Here is a 27,362-nt window from a genome sequence, read left to right as displayed (position 1 = left end):
CTTATTCTTGGCCTGAAGACGCATGGGTGAGTAAGTCAAAGTATCCATCAACACACGGACTACCTTCTCATGGAGGAAAGATGCATATGAGCCTGCTTATTTAACAAGATATTCCAGGTTGTAGCTGCTATGAACAAAATAAAACAGGGCAGTGTGATGGAGATGCTGCTTAAACCAGGATCCAGGGAAGGCCTTTTGAAGTGAGAGCTCACTAAGGGGAGAGACCTAGTTATGCAAAGATCTGGGGAAAGAGAACACCCCAAGCAAGGCTGACAGCAAGTGCAAAGGCCCTGGACTGAAACAGAACATACTCAACCATGTGGAGAGTGGAGGAAAATGACATAATAAGGAGTCTAGATTTTATTCTGGTTGCAAAGGAAAGTGAGTTATAGGTAAGATGCGATTAAATTTCCATTTTACAAAAATTACTCTGCCAAGTGCAGAATGAACTATAGTGAGGCAAGATGGAAGCAGAGAGACCAGATGGAAGATATGGCCACGGCTCAGATTGGGTTCCTACTAATGGAGAATATCAGAAACGCTCTGATTCAAGATATATTTTGGAGAGAGAGGTGATAGGAAGTATCATTTGATGGGCTGAATGTAAGGTTAGGGAGAAAGGATTCATGAATGTCGCTAAGGCTTCTGGCCCCCAAAACCTGGCGGTGGTGAAGCCACTGAATGAGATGAGGAGCATAGGGGTGGCGGGCAAGGGATGGAACCCAGATTTTAATTTTGGCCATGTTAAGGCTGAGATACCCAGCCAATGTGTCATATAGGAGCTCAGGGACTGGACTGGAAGAGTAAGTGTGGGAGTCACCCCCACAGAGAGGGCTGGATAGGAAAACACTGAGAAAAAAGAAATGTGTAGAACTATATTGATGTTCTCATGTAAACACTTACTTAGTGCAAGTGTTAGGAACTCTTATACGTACCGGTGCCCAGGAAGTAATGGGGCTGATGATAAACCAAAAAGAAAAGGTTCCAAAGGGGACAGCAACTACTTGGCTCTCGCTGGAAGGTTGGCCCACACCCGGTTACCAGATCTAATCATTTTGGGGGAGAAGCTACATAACTATAATTTCACGTAACACTTCCCAATTTTAAAGTGCTTACTACTAATTTTTTAAGTTTTTTTTTTTTTTAACATTATGGAAAAAAACCAATGACCTTTAGTTTAGCACCTCCTGGCAGTTCAGGGTGCTAGGGTGACAAAAATGAATATGATATAATCCTGACCTCATCATCTACTCAGAGGTCCGCTAGAGCTCACAAACTAAGGCAATAAACAGAGATAAAATCTCTACTACACTGTATTCTGTACAATGATGGAGATATGCGCACATGAGCATGGGGACCCAGAAAAGGGCTACTTAGGGTGGAGGAAGGGGAGGCAGAAAGAATAGCAGGAACAAAAGCACGTGGGTAAGAAATAAAGCAAACATGCATTAATGGAGAGCTATTAGCAGCTCCGTGCTGCTGGAGAGGAGGGAGAAATACACTGGTCTTTCAGTGGTATGGAAGGTCAACAGGGGACAAGTCATTCTCAATTGTATATTTCTGCATAAATGAGAATACAAGATCATTCTTCTACCTTTGAGGCTATACATGTAATAATGTAGTAGCTCATATATGATATAAAGTGTTAATTCTTACTTCTACATAAGCACCAAAACCTAAATGGTCACTTAAGGACCTTGTTCCTCATGGACTGTGTGTGTCATGCTGTGTCAGCAATGGTGTTTGGAGGGTTGCTTGCACCTTTGCGGTCTTACTGCCTTCAGGGCTCTGCTGCTGCACTGATCTTTCCAATACAAATCCAACTACATTCCTCTCCTTTACCTGTCTGCCCTGCCAGATTCTGCACTCTCAGAGACTGTTTTTCATCTTGTAACCTAGTGCCAGATGCCATCTGCTAAACAGAGGAAAAATACCCTCAAAAGCACCCTCCACTCATCACTGGGTCTGCAGTGTCACTGACTACATTTATTAGATGCATACAGCTCCCATGGTCATTTAAGTAAGAAACAGAACTTAAGACCTTATAGCTATCAATCTTTTATGTGTCATTACAGTATTAGTCTGCTCTCTTCATCTAAATCTTAAACAAAATGTTAGCAAATCTAATGTTGGCAATGTATGAAAAAGATACTCATGCCCAGGTTGATCACATCTATTGCAAGGTTGGGTTAATCTTTGATAATTCATCAAGTTCTACACATACTAACTGTGTATTTTCCTTACACTTTTTTTTTGAGACAGGGTCTCATTCTGTTGCCCATACTGGAGTACCATGGGACAACTGTGGCTCACTGCACCCTCGACCTCCCAGGATCAAGCAATCCTCCCATCTCAGCTTCCTGAGTAGCTGGGACTACAGGCACACACCACCACACCGGGCTTTCTTTCTTTTTTTTTTTTTTTTTTTTTTTTTTTGGTAGAGATGGGGTTTTGCCAAGTTGCTTGAGCTGGTCTTGAACTCCTGGGCTCAAGCGGTCCCTGACCTTGGCCACCCAAAGTGCTGGGAATACAGACATGAACCACCGCACCTGGCCTCAAAAACTTTTTTTAAAGCCATTTTTATATAAAGGCTACAGTATATTTTCCTCCAAAGTTAAAAAGCACTTTTCTCATGGCTAGGAATGAATATTTAAATGCATTGTTTTTCCAGACTGATGATTTTTAGGACAAACCTGAAGCTAGAAATAGTACTAATACTCAACACCAAGTATATGTATGTGCAGAGGCTTGGGGAGGCATATAGGATTTAAATTTGAAATTTGTTGCTAAACTCACCAAAACAGAATGAATCATGAGACCTGCAGAAGGAATCCTACTCGAGAAATGGTGAACCATCCAAGAGTCAATTAAAAATACCCTAGAATAAAACTAAGTTGTAATCTAGTAGATTACATCTAAGGTGAGAAAAAGTATTAACTTAGACTAGATTGTCTTCATAGTGTCTTAGAAACAGAAAGCCAAATAGCAAGAAAGGGGGTGGGGCTTTTTCACAGGAAGGAGGACAATGTTCTGTGATGTGAGAGAATTATGGTGGTCACTGGAAAAAAGATAGTATTCTTATTGTTAAACAGAAACAGTTTGGAAGCCAGGATGAAATATCTCCTCAGAAAATCCAAATTCCTGTGTTGATTAATATCTTATTCATCACACAACAACTGTTTACCAACTGGGCTGCCAAGATACACACTTTCATGTCATTCTGCTGCTCAAAACCCACCAATGACTTCCTATCTTACTCAAGTCTTATGAGGACCTGTAAGCCCCGCACGATCTGGTCCCTCACTACCTCTTGGACTTCAGTTTCTAAGATGCTCTCAACTGTTCACTCAACTGGAGCCGCACTGGCCCCCTGTTGTTTCTTACACAAGCCAGCTACAGTCTCTCCTGAGAATTTTGTTTGTACTGTTTAAAATTCTCTTCTTCCAGATAATCCTACAGCTTGTTCCTCATACCTTTGCGTCTCTGCTGAAATGTCACCTTGCATTAGCAAGGTCTTCTCAACCATGCCCCCTGTGCCCTTAAGACCATTCTCCCAAGTCACTCTCCATATGACCCTTAGCTTTTTCTCTGTAGTTCTCAATACATCTGATATGTTTACATTGGTGTTTTTATTTTCTGTCTTATCCCACCAGAATGTAAACTCTACAAAAGCAAGAATTTAGTTAAGTTCACTGCTGTATCCCCAGTGCCTGACACACGGTAGGTATTCAATAAATATTTGTTGAATGAGTGAATAAATAGGACAAGGACTACAAGACATGAAACTTCTAACTTCATCCAGACATATATCCTAGTATACATCAATAAACTAGCTTTTACGTTTATATATCCTATATTAAATGTGTCAGTCCCAAAAATCTGATCAACACTAGCTACACAAACAAATTGAATTTCTGAACCTATCAACCTCAGACTCCTGACTTTGTTGATTCCACCAAGATACCATCACTAGATGAGGCCCCAGTTTGGATGGCCAGCCAGGGTCACTGACATCACTCTAACTAAAAAAAGAAACTCACCTGTGCAATAATGGAAAGAATGCCAAGGACTGCTATAAACGCTGCAACACTTTCTGGTGAAAATTTCATTATCTAGAAGGGTTTCCAGAAAAGGTAACATTAATGAATACAAATGTATACCAGATAGAAAACCACTGCAGCTACTTGTATATTAACATTTAATGGGCCAGAAAAAAATAAATGTAATTCATTTATAAACAAAGAATTCCTCAGAGGAAATACAACATATCTTAACATACTAAAAATGCCTACTTATCCATGGTGGGTCCCTCAATGTGGATATACTAAATTGGAGATACTTATCAAGAACTCAGAATCATTTTACAAATAAATATTGCAGTATTTTGTGCATTTTACATGTATTGGTTAAAGGCTTGATCTCCGTCTAGTGAGACTAGTGTCAAGGAGGAAAATACTTGTTTTTGCTCTCATTTTGGCTAGCTGCTCTACTTACATATGCTCTAAATCACAAAGAAGCTGGAGCAGGTGAAGGGGTTAAATCATCCCATCAATTCTATAGCCAACAAACTCAAACCACCTATATGGACAGGGAAAACTATCTTTCTCCCTAAGCCAAATATCTTAATATACCAAATAACCCCCATTAGAAATGCATAAGGAACATCAGCCACACAGAATAGGAGGTAAAGTCTAGTAGACCAAATAATATTCTTTTTATTTATTTATTTATTTATTTAATTTTGAGACGGAGTTTCGCTCTTGTTACCCAGGCTGGAGTGAATGGCGCAATCTTGGCTCACTGCAGCCTCCGCCTCCTGGGTTCAAGTGATTCTCCTGCCTCAGCCTCCCAAGTAGCTGGGATTACAGGTGCCCGCCACTACGCCTGGCTAGTTGTTGTATTTTTAGTAAGCATAGGATTTTGCCATGTTGGCCAGGCTGGTCTTGATCTCCTGACCTCAGCTGATCCACCCACCTTGGCCTACCAAAGTGCTGAGATTACAGGCGTGAGCCACTATACCAAGTCCAATGATATTCATTTTTAAAGGCCACTTCTATTACAGTTCTCTCAAGATTAAATATTTTTATTAAAGCACTAGACAATGAAAGAAAAGTCCACCTTAGTGGAAGAGGATTTTACCTGTCTGAGGTATAAAAAAAAGCTGGAATATTGGCCTGCCTCCGGTAGGTAGGAGAGAAACACTGTAATGCAGATCAGCAGCACTATGGAATCTTGGCCGACTTTTTTTAAGGACTAGAACAAGAAAAAGACTGATTGATATAAGGTTTTCTATCAAAACCACTGAACTATTCTTAAGAATACGCAGAGATTCCTTTTGGCAGTGTACTCATGGACAACTAGTTGTCCTTTTTATTTATTTCATATTCCCCAAACTATTCTGAAAAGTATTTCAAAATGTTAAAAGAAAAACCCAAGATGTTTTCCCTAAAGAAATATCCACAACAAAATATTAATGCTGCACTGAATCATGCACTTTTTTATCAAGGAGAAGGAAAAAGTATAAACTTACCGCAAAAGGGTCAGCTTGTTCCCAGGAAATGGGTGCTCCCCAGGATGCTGGCCGCATTTTCTCAGGCAACGACTCTGGCACAGCAACAAGGATAAAACAAATATCTAGCAAAGCTATTGCTGTAGCTAAGACCACCACCAAGCTGTCCCCATATACTCGTCCAAGATAAGCTCCAATTGCAGGACTGGTGACTAAACTTGCAGCAAATGTTGCTGAAACCTGCAATAAATTAAGGATAGACAGAGATTAGTCAGGCTACTTTTTTCCTCAACACCACATAACTCCTTTCATAATCTTGATTTATGTCAGGCCTTCTGTTGCACACCCTCCCTTTTCTCTTCCTACCTGTGCCATTTATCTTTTTTTCTTGTGGGGGCGAGAGTGGGGGAACTGGGTCTTGCTCTGTCGCCCAGGCTGGAGTGCAGTGGTGCCATCACGGCTCACTGTAGTCTTGACCTCTCAGGCTCAAGAGATCTTCCTGCCTGAAGATCTCCTGATGGGGCTACAGGCACACACCACCACGCCCAGCTAATTTTGTTTATTTTTTATAGAGGTGGAAGTCACGCTATGTTGCCTAGGCTAGTCTCGAACTCCTGAGCTCAAGCGATCCTCCCACCTCAGCCTCCCGAAGGGCTGGGAGTACAGGTATGAGACACCAAGCCTGGCCCCACTTTTCTTATACTCTCTCCTTTGGCAGGAAAAGTAAAGAATTAGATTCTTGCCTTAAAAACAGCCTGGACAACATGGAGAAACCCTGTCTGTATCAAAAAAGAAAAAAGAAAAATTAGCTGGGCATGCTGGTGTGCACCTGTAGTCTCAGCTACTTCAGAGGCTGAGGTGGCAGAATTCCTTTGAGCCAGAAAGGCGGAGGTTGCAGTGAGCCATGACAGCACCACTGCACTCCAGCCAGGGTGACAGAGTGAGACCGCATCTCAAAAATAAAATAAAATAAATGATAGCCTCTCAGGACACTGTCTTCAAACTTTCTAAGCCTTGGAGCCCTCTGTTCCAATAAATCCTACTGGCAAATTCATAGGTAAAAGAGATTTTTTTAAGAAGACTGGGTGTGATGGTTCATGCCTGTAATCTCAGCACTTGGGGAGGCCAAGGTGGGAGGACTGCGTGAAGCCAGAAGTTTGTGACCAGCCTGGGCAACACAGCAAGACCCTGCCTCTATTTAAATTTTTTTTTTTTTTTTTTTTTTTTTGAGACGGAGTCTCGCTCTGTCGCCCAGGCTGGAGTGCAGTGGCGCGATCTCGGCTCACTGCAGGCTCCGCCCCCGGGGTTTACGCCATTCTCCTGCCTCAGCCTCCCGAATAGCTGGGACTACAGGCGCCCGCCACCTCGCCCGGCTAATTTTTTGTATTTTTAGTAGAGATGGGGTTTCACCGTGTTAGCCAAGATGGTCTCGATCTCCTGACCTCGTGATCCGCCCGCCTCGGCCTCCCAAAGTGCTGGGATTACAGGCGTGAGCCACCATGCCCGGCCTATTTAAATTTTTTAACTCTTTTAGTTGAGGAAGGGTTGAGAGCCTGGGCACTGTACAAACACCCCTCCTTGACTGCCAGTCATGCTGGTCCTTAGGGGAGGGGTGTCTAATCTTTTGGCTTCCCTGGGCCACGCTGGAAGAACGGTCTTGGGCCACACATAAAATACACTAACAATAGCTGATGAGCTTAAAGAAAAAAAAACTGCATAATGTTTTAAGAAACTTTATGAATTTCTGTTGGGCCATGTGTGCAGCCTGTGGACCATGGGTTGGACAAGCTTGGTTAAGGGCATCTCCATAAACCCTTAAGTGCTCTCTGTGAAAGGAGTCTAAAATCCACTGCTCTAAGGAAATCCAATTTCACTGTGACTTTTCCAATATTAAAATTAAATGAACGTTTATCTTGATACATACTGAAGGGCTAGCTGAAATAAAGCTTAAAGACTTGGAGGTTCCTGTTCTCATGAATAATATGTTAAGCCCTGGAACAAAACTGAGCTTGGTAATCTTTTTAGTTGGCAGGGTTAGGAAGAATGAAATCACAGATAAATTAAGAACATCTCTAAAACTCTGAGGAAGTCTATTTTTTTAAGCCTGGTGAAGATGAAGATTAAAGTTGAAAAGGACACGAGTAGAGCAAACCTGTTAACCGCAGACATTTCTAGCCTACTGGACAACAGCCTACAAATTAGCAGATGTGACAGCAGGAAACACTTCATAAAAATAGCACTCTTAGTCAGGTGAGGTGGCACCTGCCTATAGTCCCAGCTACTCAGGAGGCTGAGGTGGGAGATCACTTGATCCCAAGAGTGAGTCCAGTCTGGGCAACACCCTGTCTGGAAAGGAAAGAGGAAAGGAAAGCAAAGGGAAAAGGAATGGAGAAAGGGGAAAGAAGAGGAGAGGAGAGAAGAGAAGAGGAAAGGAAAGGAGAGGAGGAGAAAGGAAAAGGGGAAAGGGGAAGAGAAAAGGGGAAGGAAAGGGTTAAAAAAGGGAAAAGGCTTAGGGAAAAGGCTTAAGGAAAAGGGGAAAGGGGAAGGGAAAGGAAAAGGAAAGAAAAAGAAAAAAGAAGGGAAAGGGAAAAGGGGAGGGGAAAGGAAAGGGAAAAGGGGAAGGGAAGGGAAGGGAAGGGAAAAGAGAAAAGGAAAGGAAAGGAGAAAGGTGAAAGCGAAAAGGAAAGGGGAAAGTGAAAGTGAAAAGTGGAAAGGGGAGGGGAGGGGAGGGGGAAGAGAAGGGCAAAGGAAAGGAAAGGGGAAGGGAAGGAAAGGAAAAGGACCATATTCTTTCAAAGCATAGAGATTAATGTTGGAATTTTATTCTGTTTCTATGCCATTTTTGACTTTTGGATGGAGAACTTAAACTTCACAAGAATGCTTACTTGCAACTCTATTGCTTAAGGCAAGCAATTCAATTTTCAAAGGTCAATTATTTGAACAAGTACATAAAATTCTAGTAATTTCAAACATCTAGCTATCAATCAAATGTCCATCAACTGATGGATAAGAATACACTACACAGCAATCAAAAAAAACTACTGGCCAGGTGCAGTGTCTCATGCCTGTAATTCCAGCACTTTGGGAGGCTGAGACAGGCAGATCACTTGAGTTTAAGAGTTTGAGACCATCCTGGGCAACATGGTGAAACTCCATCACTACAAAACATACAAAAATTAGTAGTCCCAGCTACTCGGGAGGCTGAGGTGGAAGGATCACTTGAGGCAGGGAGGTAGAGGGGAGACAGAGGCTGCAGTGAGCTGTAACGGCACCACTGCACTCCAGCCTGGGCAATAGAGTGAGACCCTGTCTCAAAAAGAAAAAAATTAGCTGGGCATGGTGGATCATGCCTGTGGTCCCAACTGCTTTGGAGGCTGAGGCAGAAGGATCGCTTGAGCCCAGGAAGCCAAGGCTTCAGTGAGCCATGATCATGCCACTGCACTCCAGCCTGGGGGATAGAGCAGGACCCTGTCTCAAAAAAAAAAAAAAGGAAAAGAGACAAAAATAGAACCTATTGATCTATAGTATCAACATGGATCAATCTCAAAAGATTATGCCAAGTGAAAGAAGTTAGACACAAAAGATGTTTTGTATTATTTAATTTCTATGAAGTTTCTAGAAAAGGCAAAACCATGGTGACAGAAGCTAAATTGTTGGTTGCTTGGGGTCACAGGTGGAGCATGGGGACAGATGGCAAACAGGGCTGAGGGAACATTTTGGGCTGATGGAAATGTTCTATAACTGGGTTGTGGTGGTTTTTTAAATGGTATTTAATATATTCACATGGGGGCCAGGCGCCATGGCTCACGCCTATAATCCCAACACTTTGGGAGGCCGAGGCAGGCGGACCAAAGGTCAGGAGTTCAAGACAAGACTGGCCAATATGGTGAAACCCCGTCTCTACTAAAAATACAAAAATTAGCTGGGCATGGTGGTGGGCATAGCTACTGGGGAGGCTGAGGCAGCAGAATCGTTTGAACCCAGGAGGCGGAGGTTGCAGTAAGCCAAGATCACACCTCTGCACTCCAGCCTGGGTGACAGAGCGAGACTCCGTCTCAACAAAAAACAAACTATATATATATACACACACATACATACACACACACACATACATATAAATATATATTTTCAAATGTAGTGGTTATTTTGTTATTGCAGCCCTAGGTGTGGTTTCAGAGGGACCCAGATCTCAGCAGGGCTCTGGCACAAGTGTGGGGAAAGGGAAAATGGTTCTCACTATGAGGGTCACTGAAGACATTTGAGGGCATTTACAGAGATCACATTTGTGACACAGTGAGCAAGTCAGTACAGTTGTTTCATGTCATTTCCCTTCTCCTCAGTTCTCTCCACTTGGTAGCCATTTCTTTCTGCTCAGAAAAAAGATCACAGGGGTCACCCCGCACCCCCCAACCCCCTTTTTTGGAGACAGGTCTCGCTCTGTGGCTCATGTTGGAGCGCAGTGGTGCGATCACGGCTCACTGCAGCCTCAACCTCTCAGGCCCAAGTGATCCTCTCACCTAAGCCTCCCAGGTAGCTGGGACTACAGGCACACACCACCACACCTGGCTAATTTTTAAAGTTCCTGTATAGATGGGGTCTCACTATGTTGCCCAGGCTAGTCTCAAACTCCTGGGCTCAAACAATCCTCCTGCCTCAGCCTCCCAAAGTGCTGGGATTATAAGCCACTGCACCTGGCCCCTCCAACTTTTTTTTTTAAGAGACAGGGTCTCACTCTGTACCCTAGACTGGAGTGTAGTGGCATGATCATAGCTGCAGCCTCAAACTCCTGGCCTCAAGCAATCCCCCTGCCTTGGCCTCCCAAACTGGTGGTATTACAGGCACATGCCACTGTGCCTGGCCACTTCCCCACCTTTTTTCTGCATCCATATTATTTCTAGAAGATTTCAGTGTTTTTTGTTTTGTTTTGTTTTGTTTTGTTTTGTTTTGTTTTTTGCCAGAACATGGCTTAATACACAGAACCTCCAGATTGAAAATTGTTAATTTCAAAACTTTGGCTATGGGAAAATAAATTACGTCAAAAAAACCAAACCAACGAACCAACCAACCAACCGACCAACCCCAAATTGGGTTATGGTGGTGTTTGCATAACAGTATAAATTTACTAAAATTCACTGAACTATACTCATAAAAAGGATAAATTTTATGGTATGTAAACTATAGCTTAATTAGACTATTTTTTAAATATCCTGGCTATCATCAGCCTTGTATCATTTAATGTTCCAAGTTTACAACTGAAATCATTAGTTCTTTTTCTTTTCACTTTTTTTTTTTTTTTTTTTTTAAATAGAGACAAGGTTTCACCATGTTGGCCAGGCTGGTCGTGAACTCCTGATCTCAAGTGATCCGCCTGCCTCAACCTCCCAAAGTGCTGAGATTACAGGTGTGAGCCACTGAACAGGCCAGAAATTATTAGTTCTTTTTCTAACTTTCTCTCTATAGGTGTTTCCTCCCCAAAAATCTTATGATTCTTCACTATAACGTCCTTTGAATCAGAAATCAGTCCCTTTTAAAACTAATTCAGCCCAACACAATATTCAGTCCTTATTTATCACAAGGTATTTGTCTCACATTTACCGAAATGCATCACTGTCCTATTTCTGGCTATTCAGTAGTGATCTATTATTGTGCCTATAGTAGTCATTCTATTACTAGGCTTTTTTCCTTTAATTCCTAGATTTGATAGATGACACATTATACTGCCATAATTTAGTTTACCAAAACAGTGTCCAGGAGTTGGCGACCTACCACTATGGCTCAAATCTGGCTGTTTCTTACATTTTTAAAGAGTTTATAAACATAAATACACATGCAAAAACAAAAGAATGAGACAGAGACTGTACGTGGCCCACAAAGCCACAAAAAAGGTTTGCTGATCCCTGAGCTAGATGTTAGCCTGTTGTATTTTAGATTAGACATTAAATGAGTAGTGATTTTTTTTAACTCTTGACATACTAAATAATTCTTATTTTTAGGATTCTGTTAAAAAGAACTCTACAAGGTAAAATATACTATAATTTCAATTCTGACATGTGACTTATGAATATCTACTAAATGAAAAGAATCAAAACTTACATAGCCTCATACCGCAAAAAAATTTTAAATGTAGTCTAATGAATGATTTTATTACAAAATATATTTTACGCAAAAATCTTGTAATGCAAAGGTTTGCACTCCTTATAATAATATTTATCTTAAAAACAAGGCATTTCTCAGCAGATACAAAAGGTATAGAATAAACATACATACCAGTCCATAAGCCATACTTCTTTCATGCTCTTGGGTTATATCTGCTACGTATGCAAATACCACAGAAAAAGTCACTGCAAAAACCCCAGAAACAGAGATAACAGCAAAGTACCACCTAGGAATGAAAGATAACAAGAAATGGTTAGAGCAATTACCATTGTTTTAATCTTCTTTCATTTTTATAAGTTAATTAAGCGTAAGAGCAGCTCATTTCAGTCAACAGCTTACTAGGATAGTTCATGGATTAACTATTCCATAAATATAAGCCACAGATATTATGAAAACATAGGGCTAGAAGGAGCCCTTCAATAGCAGCTCAGCTACTATACAGGAATACTTAAAATTAGATCATGTATTCAGGCAAATCTTTTGACCAACTGTTGAACTGTTAAGTGATTTTGCTTTTTCTGCCAAAAACAGCAACAAACTAAAGTCTATTATAATCCATCCATTACTGTTTTTCACCACAACACTAGATAAAAAACAAAATCCAGTAAACAAGACTGAGGAACAAGTTTCTTCATATTTATTTTGAGCCTCTATATAGTAACTAAATGTTTTCCATAAGTTATCTTTAGCTTTTCAAATGCTGGCAAAACAAATAACTCAGTTTTACACACAAAAAACCTATATGGCAGGATTCAGTGTTCATAAAACTGAGAATAGACAGTTACTATAAACAGTGAACAAAATATTTAAAGAGTAAACTATATTTTGCTATAAATAATTCCAAAATAGCTGGGAATAAGAAGTTTCTATTGTAATACTGATGTTTAGTTTCTGAAAATCACATATAATCATAATGAGCTTTCAAAATATCATTCCACCAAGACTATCACTACTAAAATTTTTCTAACACACTGCTTAACACAGCAAATTCTTTGTTCATTCCATGTTCAATTTTTGGTAAGATTTCATGTGCATGAGTGGCCTTCATCAAAGGCTTGGTCTATTAGAATTGTATCTCATCTACAAGAAGAAGATCCTGCCCCATATAAACCTTTGGGCCTTTGTAGATAACACCATGGAAATAAAGCCCATCCGTGATGTAGAACTAACATTAATACTCAGTGGAGTAAAAAGAACATTAGTCAGAATAAATCTATAAATCTACAACCAAATTGGGCTCTGACTTTAGGACAATTATTCCCTTTTTGTTAGCTTTCCTTCCCTTGCCTCCTGAGTGGAAAAAAAAAAAATACTGATTTTAATCAAGGTGGCCTTGAGTCCAGACTCTTGTAACTAGGAGCAGCATATCCCTGAAATCTGACCAAAGAAATGCAAGCAGAGGTGGGATGGGAATTCTGTAAAGTTTCCTTAAAAGAAGGTGATGTGCTCTTCTTAGCAACTCCTTCCACCTTGCTATCAGTAGTATGACTTGATGGCTAGAGCTCAAGAAGCCACTTTGTTCAGTGAGGTGAGAGATGAGGATGGAAGAACAGCAAGATAGAAAAAGTCTGCTCCACTGGAACTGCCATACCAGCTCCAGACTGCTCAACTTGCAGACCCTTTTTCACATGAAAAGAGAAATTTGATTTTTAAGCAACTCTTATTTTGGGTTTTGATATATAGCAAAACCTATTCCTAACTAATATAGATAATGACAAATTTTGTGTCTGTTTTTAACATTCTATACAAGAAAAAAAGTTAGCAATCCTATCCAGTCCCCAAAATATTGTTTTGAAATTTGGGTTCTGGAATCCAAAATTAAGTTAGCCAGAAGTCTAGATGCCTCCAACAGTGTCAACTATTTCTAAAATCTTTATGAACTATTACCTACTGTATTTTTAGAGGCCTTCTTATCTGTGTGAAAGAATAAATGTATTAGAAAAATAAAATTAAAACCTCATAACCAAGATGGCACAAGTGAAAGAAATAAAGGAACATTAAGAAAACAATAGCTGAAAGTGATATTTAGTTGCTATAATCTAAATGTGCACATACCATGGGCTGATCTTCATTAAAGGAATTGGGGCACATGTGAAAAACACCGTTAGCAGCAAGAAGGATTTTCGGCCCCAAACATCAGAAAGAGCACCAATAAGCGGGGCACTAAGGAATGACAACAAACCCTAAAAAAATTAAATGAAAAAAATGAATACCACACATCTATGAGCATGAACCAAAAATAAATCATTTTACTCCTATAGAAAAATTTTCAACAACTTTGTTTCTAAAGTAAATATATCACAAACTTTTAAATAAACAATTGCTTATCTATATATAAATTTAAAATTTCCCAAGATAGTTTAGAATCATCTGTGGGGCTCCAGGTAGGTATTAAATATGAACTGCTCTAATAAATTCTCAATCACAATAAATCCACAATAGCAATTCCATATGCTAATTACCTGTTTGTGTATGTGTGTGTATATGTATGTGTGTGTGTATATATATATATAAAACATAAAACATATATTTATATATATATAAAACAGGCTAATTACCTATTTCGAAAACTTGTTTGTCAAACTGAATCAAGAGTAAAGAATTTGAGCTGGGCACAGTACTTGCACCAATAATCTCAACACTTTGGGAGGTCGAGGGCAGATCACTTAGGTCAGGAGTTCGAGACCAGCCTGGCCAACATGGCAAAACCCTGTCTCTACTAAAAATACAAAAAATTAGCCGGGTGTGGTGGCACATGTCTGTGGTCCCAGCTACTTAGGAGGCTGAGGCAGAAGAATCGCTTGAACCTGGGAGGCAGAGGTTCTCAGCAGTGAGCTGAGATCATGCCACTTGCACTCCAGCCTGGGTGACAGTGCAAGACTCTGTCTCAAAAAAAAAAAAAAAAAAAAAAAAAAACACGAAAAAGAAAGAGCAAAGAATTCATATAATAACCAACTCTTTACCCTACTGATACAGTTTTATATTGATGGGGGTTTTTTAGTATAGTTTTTTCCTCTTCAATCTGTAGTCTTACAAAATCATTGAGATCTCTGGAATTAAAATGCCAACATAAAAACAGGGAATCTGTTATGATGTGGTTTATTATTATGCATGATTGGCTATATTGTAGTTAGATCATATTTAAAACTCAAGTCTAGAAAGTATTAAGTTATCTCTCAAAATATACTCCATCTAATTATAAAAATTAAGTTATTAATCAGTAAACAAACATATATTCGCATAGTTATATATATGTATTTATGTATGTTCATCCGTGTGCGTGTATGTGTATGTATGTATATATACACATATATATGTATGACTGATCCTACCTTTACTCCTTGAATTAAGCCGTTCATCAGAAATGTATGTTTAGGAAAGGTTTCATGTAATACCTAAAGAATAAAAACCAAAATAAAAATCACATGCTATATTTCAGTCTTAATAAAATTTCTACATTTACCTTTTTGAACATCCATTCATACTACAATCTGATTTATTTTACATATTCAGATTTGTATGACATGCATATGACCATTAATAACCAAATATTTATATGGTACTTAATATGTCACAGGGCACTACATTGGGCACTTTACATATATTATCTCATTTAATCCCTCATAACAGCCCTATCAGAAAACTGATATGCAGAGGTTAAACATCTTGTCTAAGATTACAGTCAGTAAGTAAATGGCAAAGCTGAAGCTGAACCTAAGAGATCAGACTTGAAAGCCTATGTTTTTACTCACTATGCTATGCTGCTTCCCCAAAATAACTGACTTATAATTCTCTTTCAGATGGATATATTATCTAGGATAGGAGATTGGGAAAATTAATAAGTAATTTTTAATTGCCACGAAGTAGATCTAGAAAGATTCTATAAAGAAAAAAAATCCCAACCTATGAAAATGTATAACAAGTTATTCTATCCTTTCCAAGGCTTGTTCTCAAATCATGTGGTATCAATTTTTTGCAGTGGGCAGCAAGAGAACCGCTGGAATGCATCAAATGAAAAGGCAATTCCAGGCAACTGGAAAAATAAACAGCAGCTACCATTTTTACAGCCTATATGTACTCCTGTTTAATCCCAACACTGTGAATTAGATAATATTATCACTTTACATATGAGGCAACTGAGTTCCTGTTTGACTTAGAAACTAATGCTTCTATTATCCAATGCTATCGCTCAGTAATAACAACAGAGAATGGGAATGTGGGTAATAAGGAAGGTAGGGAAGGTCTTCCCTTTAAGAAGAAACATTATGCTAAATATACTTTCTGACATGTTGCAAGAAGAACCTTTAGAAGGATCAGAATTGCTCCCCTTTCTTCAGTTATTCTTCTCCTGCCAATAGCGAGAAATTTAACAAAAATGTGCTCATTGTAAGTAAAAATCAATTTAGAGGCCAGGTGTGGTGGCTCACACCTGTAATCCCAACACTTTGGAAGGAAGAGGCGGATGGATCACCTGAGGTGGGAGTTCAAGACCAGCCTGGCCAACATGTCGAAACCTCATCTCTACTAAAAATACAAAAATTAGCCAGGCGTGGTGGCAGGCGCCTGCAATCCAAGCTACTCAGGAGGCTGAGGCAGAAGAATCGCTTAAACCCGGAGGGCAGAGGTTGCAGTGAGCTGAGATCGTGCCACCACACTCCATCCTCAGCAACAGAGTAATAGCCTGTCTTAAAAAAAAAAAAAAAGAAAGAAAAAGGAAAAAAAAAAACAGTCGCAGACTGTATGTAAATGAATGGGTTTGACTGTGTTCCAATAAAATTTTATTTATAAAAATAGTATGTGATCTCCAGGACACTGGACTGGGCAAAGATTTCTTGATAATACTCCACAAGCACAGGCAGCCAAAGCCAAAGTGAGAATGGACAAATGAGATCACATCAAGTTTAAAGCTGCACAGCAAAGCAAACAACAAAGTGAAGAGACAACCCACAGAATAGGAGAAAATATCTGCAAACTATCCATCTGACAAGGGATTAATAACAAAAATGTATAAGGGGCTCAAACAATTCTGTAAGAAAAGAATCTCATAATCTGATTTTTAAAAAACGGGCAAAAGATCTGAATAGACATTTCTCAAAGTGACCAATAGGTATATGAAAAAATGCTCAACCATCACTGATCATCGGGGAAATGCAAATCAAAACTACAGTGAAATATCATCTCACCCCAGTTAAAAACAGCTTTTATCCAAAAGATAGGCAAGGATGTGGAGAAAAGGGAACACTCATACACTGTTGGTGGGAATGTAAATTAGTACAATCACTAAGGAAAACAGTTGGAAGGCTCCTCAAAAAACCTAAAAATGGAGCTACCATATGATCCAGCAATCCCACTACTAGGTATATACCCCTCCAAAAAAAGGAAATCAGTATATTGAAGAGATAGCTGTACTCCTACATTTACTGCAGCACTATTCCTTTTTTTGTTTGTTTGAGACGGAGTTGGGCTCTTGTCGCCCAGGCTGGAGTGCGATGGTGCAATCTTGGCTCACTGCAACCTCCGCCTCCCAGGTTCAAGCAATTCTCCTGCCTCAGCCTCCTGAGTAGCTGGGATTACGGTGTGCACCACCATGCCTGGCTAATTTTTGTATGCAGCACTATTCTTAATAGCTAAGATTTGGAAGCAACCTAAATGTCCATCAACAGATGAATGAAAGGATAAAGAAAATGTATTTATACACACAGAAAAAGAATGAGATCCTGTCATTTGCAACAACATGGATGGAACTGGAGGTCATTATGTTAAGTGAAATAAGCCAGGCACAAAAGGAGAAACTTCACATGTTCTCAATTATTTGTGAGAGCTAAAAATTACAACAACTGAACTCATGGAGACAGAGCAGAATGATGGTTACCAGAGGCCGGGAAGGGTAGTGGGAGAGAGGATGGTTAGTGGGCACAAAAAAATAGAATAAATAAGATCTAGTACTTGATAGGCACAACAGGTTGACTACAGCCAACATTTATTCTACATTTGAAAATAACTAAAATTTGGCCAGGCGTGGTGGCTCACGCCTGTAATCCCAGCACCTTGGGAGGCTGAGGCGGGCAGAGCACAAGGTCAAGAGATTGAGACCATCCTGGCCAATACGGTGAAACCCCATCTCTACTAAAAATACAAAAATTAGCTGGGTATGGTGGCAGGTGCCTGTAGTCCCAGCTACTTGGGAGGCTGAGGCAGGAGAATTGCTTGAATCCAGGAAGCAGAGATTGCAGTAAGCTGAGATCGCGCCACTGCACTCCAGCCTGGTGACAGAGCAAGACTCCGTCTCAAAAAAACAAAAAACAAAACAAAACAAAACCTAAAATTGGATTGTTTATAACACAAAGAAAGGATAAATGCTTGAAATGATGGATACCCCATTTACCCTGACGTAATTATTACATACTGTATGCCTGTATCAAAATATCTCATGTACCCCCATAAATATATACACCTATGTACCCACAAAAATAAAAAATAAAATATTATTTAAAAATAAAAAAGGAAAAATGGCATGCCCTCTCTAATTGAAAAGAATTACTGGGAGGTCTTTGAGAAACTCCTAGAAGTTCTTTTTAGAGTTCTACTGCATGCATTAACTAAGTAGCTAAGTGATAATTAGGAAAAAGTTCAATTCAACATACTTGTGAAAAGGAATATAAACACACACACAAAGAGAAAGTTGCCAGAAGCAACTACAAAAAAAAAAAAAAAATTGCAAAAAAGATCTAGTCCTCTAGCCATATTTTCCCAGTCCTTGTGCTAAAGGATAAGATTTAAACTCCTTAAACTAGTATCTCAAAACTTTTTACGGGACTCAAATGTATTATGCTTTTCTTTCAATAATCACATAGGGCCTACTGCAAGCCAAATCTTTCTAGGTATGAAGAACAGGTTTGGTGTTAGAAAGAATGAAAAACATTATGAATGTCTATAAGAAGTTTTATACTATGCTAGATCTTATCACTAATGATTCACTTTGCCAAGCTGTATTCCATTCCAATCAATCTGTTCGCTTCACTGTTTCTGAAATATTCTATGCTTTCCAATATTCATATTTTATACACGGCATCCTTTCAATTTTGAATGTTTCTTCCCTTTCTTTATCTGGCCAACCCCCAACCCTTCCAAACTGTTCCTCTGCTACCTAACTTTTTTCTCCAAAGCAATTTCTCCTTTGGGGCCATACAATTTCTAACAAAATTTTAACAGACAAATATAACAAGTAATTCGAATGTTGTAAAGATTTTTGATGTCAGGATCCTTTAGCACTGGTCTTTAGAGGTGAACAGAGAAAATGTAACACTTTTCCAAAAAATTTTATGGATCTTAACTTTTTTTTAACTTTAAAAATGTTGAAAGTAAATAATCCTTAAAATGTTAAACGCTTTGGGGCTGTTTCTGTAGCCAAGGACACGAAACCATCTAGGTAGAAGAGATGCTAGTGGATTTTGAGTGTTCCGTAACATGGACTGTGTATCTAGGAGCTTGAACCATCAAACACTGGCCTATTATTTCCAGAGCCATAGGTCTGTCAAAAGGGTAAAGCCGGCCAGGAACAGTGGCTCACGCCTGTAATCCCAGCACTTTGGGAGGCTTAGGTGGGTGGATCACAAGGTAAGGAGTTCAAGACCAGCCTGACCAAGATGGTAAAACCCCGCCTCTACTAGAAATAAAAAAATTAGCCAGGCATGGTGGCAGGTGCCTGTAATCCCACATACTTGGGAGGCTGAGGCAGAGAACTGCTTGAACCTGGGAGGCGAAGGTTGCAGTGAGCCGAGATAGTGCCACTGAATTCCAGCCTAGACGACAGAGTGAAACTCTGTCTCAAAAAAAATAATAAAAAAAAAAATTAGCTGGGCGTGGTGACATGCACCTGTAATTCCAGCTACTGGGGAGGCTGAGGCAGGAGAATCTCTTGAACCTTGGCGGTGGAGGTTGCAGTGAGCCGAGATCACGCCACTGCACTCCAACCTGGATGCCAGATTAAGACTCCGTCTCAATGAAAAAAAAAAAAAAGGAAAGAAAAAAAAAAACCGGTAAATTCCACTCCTTGGCATTACAGATCCTTATACCTACTGTTATTCTCATCACTTAGCTAATATGTTACATAATCAAGCAATAATCACTGATTCTGACTGAACTATCTACTATGACCAACCATATATTCATAACCTCTCAAAAGTGTTAGACCTCAATCTTTAAAAATATTTGTCAGTACAAAATCCTTCTTTTTAGCTAAATCCCCTTGTTGGTAGAGGCTCACCATCTTCCCCTGGGCAGATCTTCCACAAAACACAGCTTTTGTTTTTTGACTGTTCTATGAGGGCTTAAAAGTGAAAGATAATTGCAACACACAGTTTTTTTGGTCTTAAAATGTCACATTAGTTTTAAAAATTAAGAAATTAAGGCTATCATAAATCCCAAACCAGACATTCAAAATTAATATGTCTAAAACTGGTTATCTGATTAAAAAAATACTTCAAAGAATATCTTTGAAATCTGAAATGCTGAAACAAACTATGATATAACTGTTGAGGGAGGGACAGGGAAATGAAAGATACTGACTTAAAATATAAATTAAATTATGTCTTCATCCTCATTTTCCTTTTAAAATGAATGTTAAAAACTTTGACTCTTGTGGCATGCACCATTTATAATCAGTTTCAAAACACATAAAACAGAAATGAAATGTTTAAAGATTAACAGACTTTTAAGAGGAGAGCCTTCTTTTACCCAGAAACCCACCTCTTTACACACCTCTCACACACAATGCTGGGGAGGAGTGGGAGGAGTACTGGGGCCCAAAACAAAGACTGCCAACAAAGCCAACAACAAAAAAACAAAATTTGTAAGCAAAAAGCCTTGAAATGAGTAAAACCTTTTTAAAAAGCCCATATTGAATTAATATATTGTTCTTAATTAGTGACATATACTGAATATATAACAGGGTCACTTCTAAAAAGTAGATATGCCAGGCTGGGCATGGTGGCTTATGCCTGTAATCCCAACACTCTGGGAGGCCGAGGCAGGCGGATCACCTGAGGTCAGGAGTTCAAGACCAGCCTGGCCAATGTGGTGAAACCCCGTCTCTATTAAAAATACAAAAATTAGCCTGGTATGTTGGCACGTGCCTATAGTCCCAGCTACTCGGGAGGCTGAGGCAGGAGAATTGCTTGAACCTGGGAGGTGGAGGTTGCAGTGAGCCAAGGTTGCACCACTGCACTCCAGCCTGGGCAACAGAGTGAGACTCCATCTCAAAATACACAAACAAACAAAATAAAAAAAAAAAGAAAAAGAAAACAAAAATTAAAGATAATAAGAATATATTGGCCAGGCACAGTGGCTCACACCTGTAATCCCAGCACTTTGGGAGGCCAAGGCGGGCGGATCACGAGGTTAAGAGATCGAGACCATTCTGGTCAACATGGTGAAACCCCATCTCTACTAAAAGTACAAAAATTAGCTGGGCATGGTGGCATGTGCCTGTAGTCCCAGCTACTTGGGAGGCTGAGGCAGGAAAATCACTTGAACCTGGGAGGTGGGGGATGCAGTGAGCCAAGATCGTGCCTCTGCACTCCAGCCTGGGGACAGACAGAGCGAGACTCCGTCTCAAAAAAAAAAAAAAAAAAAAAAGGAATATATTAAGCACATTAGTCTATGAAAAATGAATAAACAAGCCTTTCTAATTAAGGGGACTCCTTCCTTGTTCTTAAAAAAGATAGCCTCCCTTTGTCCAACTAGGAAAAAAATGTACCAAAATAACACGAAAGATAACATACCTAAAAAAATTTAAACAAGAAGCAAATTTTAAAAATAGCTATACACACTTGAAATACTGATAACAAATTATGGAAACATCACAAAATGCTTTTTTTCATAGCTTGCTAACAGCTCATCCACATTTTGATCACCCTACTTAGCTAGTGGTTGGGCTGCCTGACAACCTCAACTATCTAAAACATGGGTACAAACAAGTTACTACCTGCATTCCCCAAAAGACTGAGCACTGGAGGAGTCAAGGAAGCCTGGGTGCAAATACCAACACTGCAGCTTACTGTCAGAGTAGCAATCAAATTGCTTAACTTTTCTAAGCCCCGGTTTCCTCATCTGTATTATGAGGCTAATATCTCACTGATAAGGTGGTTGTAAGGATGAAAAATGATAATGTATTCAAAGTGGAATACATTAGGACTGTGCTTAACATAGTCCACTTTGAATACATTAAAGGACTGTGCCTAGATCCATCATAATATAAATACACGTGGGCTGTTTACTATTACAAAGCTCAAGTACTTTAAATGGTAGGAGTGATGGTCTACCAGACAGATTTGTATGTTAAACTGACAGATTATAAAAAGCACGCTGGCGCATTAGGAAAGCTAATGTAAAGTCATGAGCCCAAAAAGTTATTACAGCACTTCAGTAACCCTTGACAAAAACAGGTTATTACAATTCAATGAAGTTATGAATGTCATAATCAACTTGCATCATCTGAGGAAGTTCCAAATCGTTGTACTTGGATTATGAAGCCAGGAAATGTGTAAATTAATTTTTTAAAGATTTCTATCTGAAATCAGTAAACTAAAAAAAAAAAAAAAACCCTCTGATATTTTTTTATAGCAATACTCATGAACATGCTCTATATATTCAAAATGACTTTTTATTTTTGAGACAGAGTCTCACCCTGTATCCAGGCTGGAGGGTAGTGGTGCAGTCTCGGCTCACTGCAACCTCCACTTCCCGGGTTCAAGAGATTCTCCTGCCTCAGCCTCCCAAGTAGCTGGGATTACAGGTGCGTACCACCACGCACAGCTAATTTTTGTATTTTTAGTAGAGACAGGGTTTCACCATGTTGGTCAGGATGGTCTCAATCTCTTGACCTCGTGATCCACCCGCCTTGGCCTCCCAAAGTACTGGGATTACAGGTGTGAGCCACCGCGCCCGGCTGTTTTTTTTTTTGTTTTTTTTTTTTGAGACAAGGTTTCACTCCCGTCGCCCAGGCTGGAGTGTGGTGGCACGATATCGGGTCACTACAACCTCTGCCTCCTGGGCTCAAGTGATTCTCCTGCCTTAGCCTCCCGAGTAGCTGGGACTACAAACATATGCCACCATGCACAACTAATTTTTGCATTTTTTGTAGAGACAAGGTTTTACCATGTTGCCCAGGCTGGTCTCAACTCCAGAGCTCAAGCGATCTGCCCACCCAGCCTCCCAAAATGCTGGGATTACAGGCATAAGCAACTGCTAAACATCAATATTTTATGTATAGATAGTAACAATTACACAGCTGTCAATAAATATATCAAGAAATATGTACTGTAAATGTTCTTAGGCTAGTTCAATCTACTTACATAATTTTTCTATTAAATAACTTTTTTATAAAAACCTTCATGAAAACATAGTATATTACTTTAAAACTCTATTCCTCTAGGATTTGGTAAACTGTACATTTATCATAATTACTCCTTTCAAGATGGTATAGATATTTACCATAGATAGTCCTTCCCTCCTTCCATTCCCCTTATCTACACCAATATAAGAAAACTGGCTATCTTCTGAGTTGTTTGGTCGGGCAGGGAGGTCTTTTCTAAAGTTTCAAACCTGGGAGAATTTGGGTAAAATCAGCTTAGATCTATTAAAGAATAGCCCTTCTAGGTACTTAGCCCAAATGAACAGAAACCTGTTTTTGGAAAGTACAGCTGCATAAATGAACCTCAAAGTAATTATGCCGAGTCATGCAGGTCACAGACATCATCTTTTCTAAACCTGTCGGTTTAAGAATCTCTTCCATTTTACTCAGAGTAGTTACAGAGCCTCTGCTTGAACATGCCCAGTGACAAGTCCAAATTCAAACACCTCCACGCCACCCCCCTCCCAAAAAAAGGTAAGGGAGAGTTAACAGTTGGAAAAGACAACCAGTAAAATACTGGTGAATACTGAACAATACTGGTGGGAGAATTAACCGTGCAAAGGGAAAAGGCCCACATTTTCCTCCAAAACTGAAGAAGAAGAGATTTTGGAGTCAGTGTTAAATAATTTAAAAGATTACTTACCACCAAGGTGGGTGCTGTCAATAGTCCCCAAGCAAAAAACTCCAAAAAGATGACGATAACTGCATGATAGACACTAGGAGAACCTATTCCTTGAGGCTATAAAAAACAAGATTTTTTAAAAAGTTAAAAAAAGTTAACAGTACATTCTATAATTATTAACAATAACAACGATGTTAATAGTCAACAAATATTAAGATCATATATGTACTGGGCACTGTGTCAAACATCTGTACTCACTGCCTCTGTCTTCAAAGTCAGAGGGACAGACAAGGCAACAACGAAATTCATTAGCATAAGCACAGTATGCAGTTGGAACATACAGAGTCCAAGGGAGCTTGGGAGGTGGGAAATATCAGACTTCCAGGAGGAAGGCTGAAAGGACACAACAGAGTTAGACAGGCGGAGGTATAGGGTGGAAAAGATGGCTCAGCCTGTACAAAGCTTCCAAGGCTTGCGGCATTATGGGTCTCATATATCGAGTTCAGTACAACCAGTGCATGGGCTGCACGTTGGGTGTATTGAAAGACAAGCTACAGGTACTCAAAGACCAGCTTCCATGCTAAGGAGTCTATATTTAATTCTGAAGGCCATGGGGAGCCACTAAAAGATATTAAGACTGACACAATCAGATGAAAGTTTTAAGATTATTCTGGCAAAGATGTAACCAAAAAAAAAAAAAAAAACCATAAATGAAGCAAGTGGCAAAAATATAAACACGATATCAACATGGCTCAAAAGCAGAACAATCCCCAGCGAAAGTATGTAAGAGATTTGGAATTTGATATACATGAGAAAGAAAATACAAAATTAAGTTTATACCGCTGCCAGAGATGTCTTAAGACTCACTGCAGTATTATCACTCTGGTGATTTCCTAAAGGATAAAATGGAGAAGCAAAGCGCATCTAAAAGGAAGCTATCTGAATCAGCTCAAACAAGAAATGAGGGCATAAAACAGTGGCACAGTATGAATGTTGGAGGGGAGGGAACGGATTAAGGATTCAGGATTTGAAATTGGGAGGAGCTTGATAAATAGCGGAAGGGAGAATCAAGAACAACTTCCAAGTGTTTAGCTTGGTTGTCTAGCAGTTAAAGCTGGTGGCTTCCCAGCACTTCCCCCCACGAGGCTCAGATTTACTTCAGGTCCTATCTACAAAACTGCCCTCTTTACTTGAAACATTTGTATTGTCTTTGAGCACTGATTAAAACAATTAGCAGCAAATGTGATATCTGAAACCACCAGAGTAGATGAGATTATCAGGAGTGTCAAGTGTGAAAACAGCAGTGGGCTGAGACAGAACCCCAAGAAGCGCCAACATTTTAAGTAGGAGGCACAGGAAAATAGTGAAGGTTTTTCTTCTTTGATAAAGAAAAGAGGAAGATAAAAGGAACAGTAAGAAAATATCAGGAGAGTGAAGAGAATACAGTGTCACATATGACAATGGAGCAGTTTCAGGAAGGAGGAGGTGATGCCTAGTATCAAATGGAACAAGCATAGTAATATAAGGTCAAAAAAAGACCACAGGAGGCCAGGCATGGTGGCTCATGCCTGTAATCTCAGCACTTTGGGAGGCCAAGGTGGGCAGATCACTTGAGGTCAAGAGTTCGAGACCAGCCTTGCCAACATGGCAAAACCCTGTCTCTACTAAAAATACAAAAATTAGCTGGGCATGGTGGCGTGTGCCTGTAATCCCAGCTACTCAGAAAGGCTGAGGCAGGAGAATCGCTTGAACCTGGGAGGCAGAGGTTGCAGTGAGTTGAGATCCCACCACTGCACCCCAGCCTGGGCGACAGAGACTCTGAAAAAAAAAAAAAAATTGGCCACAAATTTGATAAGCTTTAAACCTGTTTTGTCCACCATGTTCACCACCACATATACCCAGCCCCTAGCAGAAAGCTTGGTACAACTTCTCAGGGCTTAAAGCATGCTAATTTTTTTAAAAATCAAAGTAGGATATAACATGTATAGGTAGGGTAATTTCAACTCTGAAAAACAATAAATACTGACCTCAATGTAAATAAAATTTATATTAGGTAATGATTTTAAGTGATATCACATTGTTTACTATGCTATTCTGAATTTTCCATATCTTTTCTAATAAGCATGCTTGCACTTTAGGAGGAAAATGCTTTGTTTATTTAAGAGAAAAATTACCTAAAACTAGCATGGAGAAAAACAAAATAAACTATGGGACAATATCTCTGATGAACATTGATGCAAAAATCCTCAACAAAATACTAGCAAACCTCCTTCAGGAAGGAGGTCTTAAAAAAGATCATTCATCGGCCGGGCGCAGTGGCTCTCACCTGTAATTCCAGCACTTTGGGAGGCCAAAGCGGGTGGATCACCTGAGGTCAGGAGTTCAAGACCAGCCTGACCAACATGAAGAAACCCCGTCTCCACTAAAAATACAAAATTAGCCAGGCGTGGTGGCGCATGCCTGTAATCCCAGCTACTCAGGAAGCTGAGGCAGGAGAATCGCTTGAACGCGGGAGGCGGAAGTTGCGGTGAGCCAAGATTGCGCCATTGCATTCCAGCCTGGGCAACAAGAGCAAAACTCCGTCTCAAAAAAATTAAAAACAAAAAAATCATTCATCATGTTCAAGTGGGATTCATCCAGGTATGAAAGGATAGTCCAACATACATAAATCTATCAAGGTGATACATCATTTCAAAAGAATGAAGGAAAATAAAATGATCATTTCAATTAATGATGAAAAAGCATTTACTAAAATTCAACACTGCTTCATAAAAACTCTCAAAAATGGTATAGAAGGAACATACCTCAATATGATAAAAGCCATATATGACAGACACAGAGCTATCATGCTGAACAGGGAAAACCTGAAAGCCTTTCCTCAAAGATCTGGAACAAGACAAAGATGCCCACTTTCGCCACTCTTATTCAACAAAGTACTGGAAAGTACCAACTAGAGCAATTAAGCATGAGTAAGAAATAAAAGGCATGCAAATTAGAAAACAGGAAGTCAAAACTGTCCCTCTTTACAGATGACATGACCTTATATAGAGAGAACCCTAAATACTCCACCAAAAAACTATCAGAATGGAAGCAAATTCACTGAAGTTGCAGGATACAAAAATCAGTACCATTTCTATATGCCAACAGCAAATATCTGAAAAAGAAACCAAGAAAATAATCCCACTTACAATAGCTACAGATGTAATACCTAAGAATAAACTTAAAGAAGTGAAAGATGTCTACAGACTACAAAACATTGATGACACGAATTGAAGAGGACACACACACAAATGGGAAGATATTTCATGTTCATAAATTGGAAGAATCAATACTGTTAAAATTTTAATACTACCAAAAGCAATCTACAGATTCAATGCAGTTACTATCAAACTACAAATGACATTCCTCACAGAATTTTTTCTTTTAAATCCTAAAACTTATATGGAACCACAAGAGCCAGAACAGCCAAAGCAATCCTGAGCAAAAAGAACAAGGCTGGAGGCTGGGCACAGTGACTCACGCCTGTAATCCCAGCACTTTGGGAGGCCAAGGCGGGCGGATCACCTGAGGTCAGGAGTTCAAGACCAGCCTGGCCATCAAAGTGAAACCCCGTCTCTACTAAAAATACAAAAATTAGCCAGGCGTGGTGGTGGGACCTGTAA

The 27,362-nt window shown here is 39.6% G+C and overlaps 1 protein-coding gene across 5 annotated transcripts in view, besides 5 other annotated features; it reads right to left on the bottom strand.

Moving 5' to 3' along the window:
• Window positions 1–27,362, bottom strand: part of SLC71A1 (solute carrier family 71 member 1) — a 45,283-nt gene that overhangs the window by 9,652 nt on the left and 8,269 nt on the right. For 3 of the 5 annotated variants that reach the window (NM_033055.3, XM_047427996.1, XM_017002084.2), the window contains 7 exons: window positions 23,722–23,817; window positions 14,998–15,060; window positions 13,721–13,848; window positions 11,777–11,891; window positions 5,531–5,749; window positions 5,140–5,253; window positions 4,041–4,112 (listed from right to left, as the gene is read on the bottom strand). In NM_033055.3, the coding sequence (NP_149044.2) occupies window positions 4,041–4,112; window positions 5,140–5,253; window positions 5,531–5,749; window positions 11,777–11,891; window positions 13,721–13,848; window positions 14,998–15,060; window positions 23,722–23,817 (807 nt within the window). The remainder of the gene's footprint in view (window positions 1–4,040; window positions 4,113–5,139; window positions 5,254–5,530; window positions 5,750–11,776; window positions 11,892–13,720; window positions 13,849–14,997; window positions 15,061–23,721; window positions 23,818–27,362) is intronic. The other 2 variants (XM_011541957.2, XM_047427999.1) reach the window with 2 other exon arrangements.
• Window positions 23,270–23,359: an enhancer, noted in NCBI's record as "active region_1370". NCBI's record gives its function as "activates an Ori minimal core promoter by ATAC-STARR-seq in GM12878 lymphoblastoid cells {active_cell/tissue: GM12878}" and the evidence as "EXISTENCE:reporter gene assay evidence [ECO:0000049][PMID:35858748]".
• Window positions 23,440–23,529: an enhancer, noted in NCBI's record as "active region_1369". NCBI's record gives its function as "activates an Ori minimal core promoter by ATAC-STARR-seq in GM12878 lymphoblastoid cells {active_cell/tissue: GM12878}" and the evidence as "EXISTENCE:reporter gene assay evidence [ECO:0000049][PMID:35858748]".
• Window positions 24,543–25,258: an enhancer, noted in NCBI's record as "H3K4me1 hESC enhancer chr1:100514024-100514739 (GRCh37/hg19 assembly coordinates)". NCBI's record gives its function as "activates a minimal SCP1, AML or CMV promoter by ChIP-STARR-seq in primed H9 embryonic stem cells {active_cell/tissue: H9 hESC(primed)}" and the evidence as "EXISTENCE:reporter gene assay evidence [ECO:0000049][PMID:30033119]".
• Window positions 26,586–26,635: an enhancer, noted in NCBI's record as "active region_1368". NCBI's record gives its function as "activates an Ori minimal core promoter by ATAC-STARR-seq in GM12878 lymphoblastoid cells {active_cell/tissue: GM12878}" and the evidence as "EXISTENCE:reporter gene assay evidence [ECO:0000049][PMID:35858748]".
• Window positions 26,666–26,745: an enhancer, noted in NCBI's record as "active region_1367". NCBI's record gives its function as "activates an Ori minimal core promoter by ATAC-STARR-seq in GM12878 lymphoblastoid cells {active_cell/tissue: GM12878}" and the evidence as "EXISTENCE:reporter gene assay evidence [ECO:0000049][PMID:35858748]".

The sequence above is a fragment of the Homo sapiens genome, chromosome 1, assembly GCF_000001405.40.
Source record: "Homo sapiens chromosome 1, GRCh38.p14 Primary Assembly".
NCBI lineage: Eukaryota > Metazoa > Chordata > Mammalia > Primates > Hominidae > Homo > Homo sapiens.
Note: the sequence above shows the minus strand (reverse complement) of the source record. Positions and strands in the feature narration are given on the sequence as shown.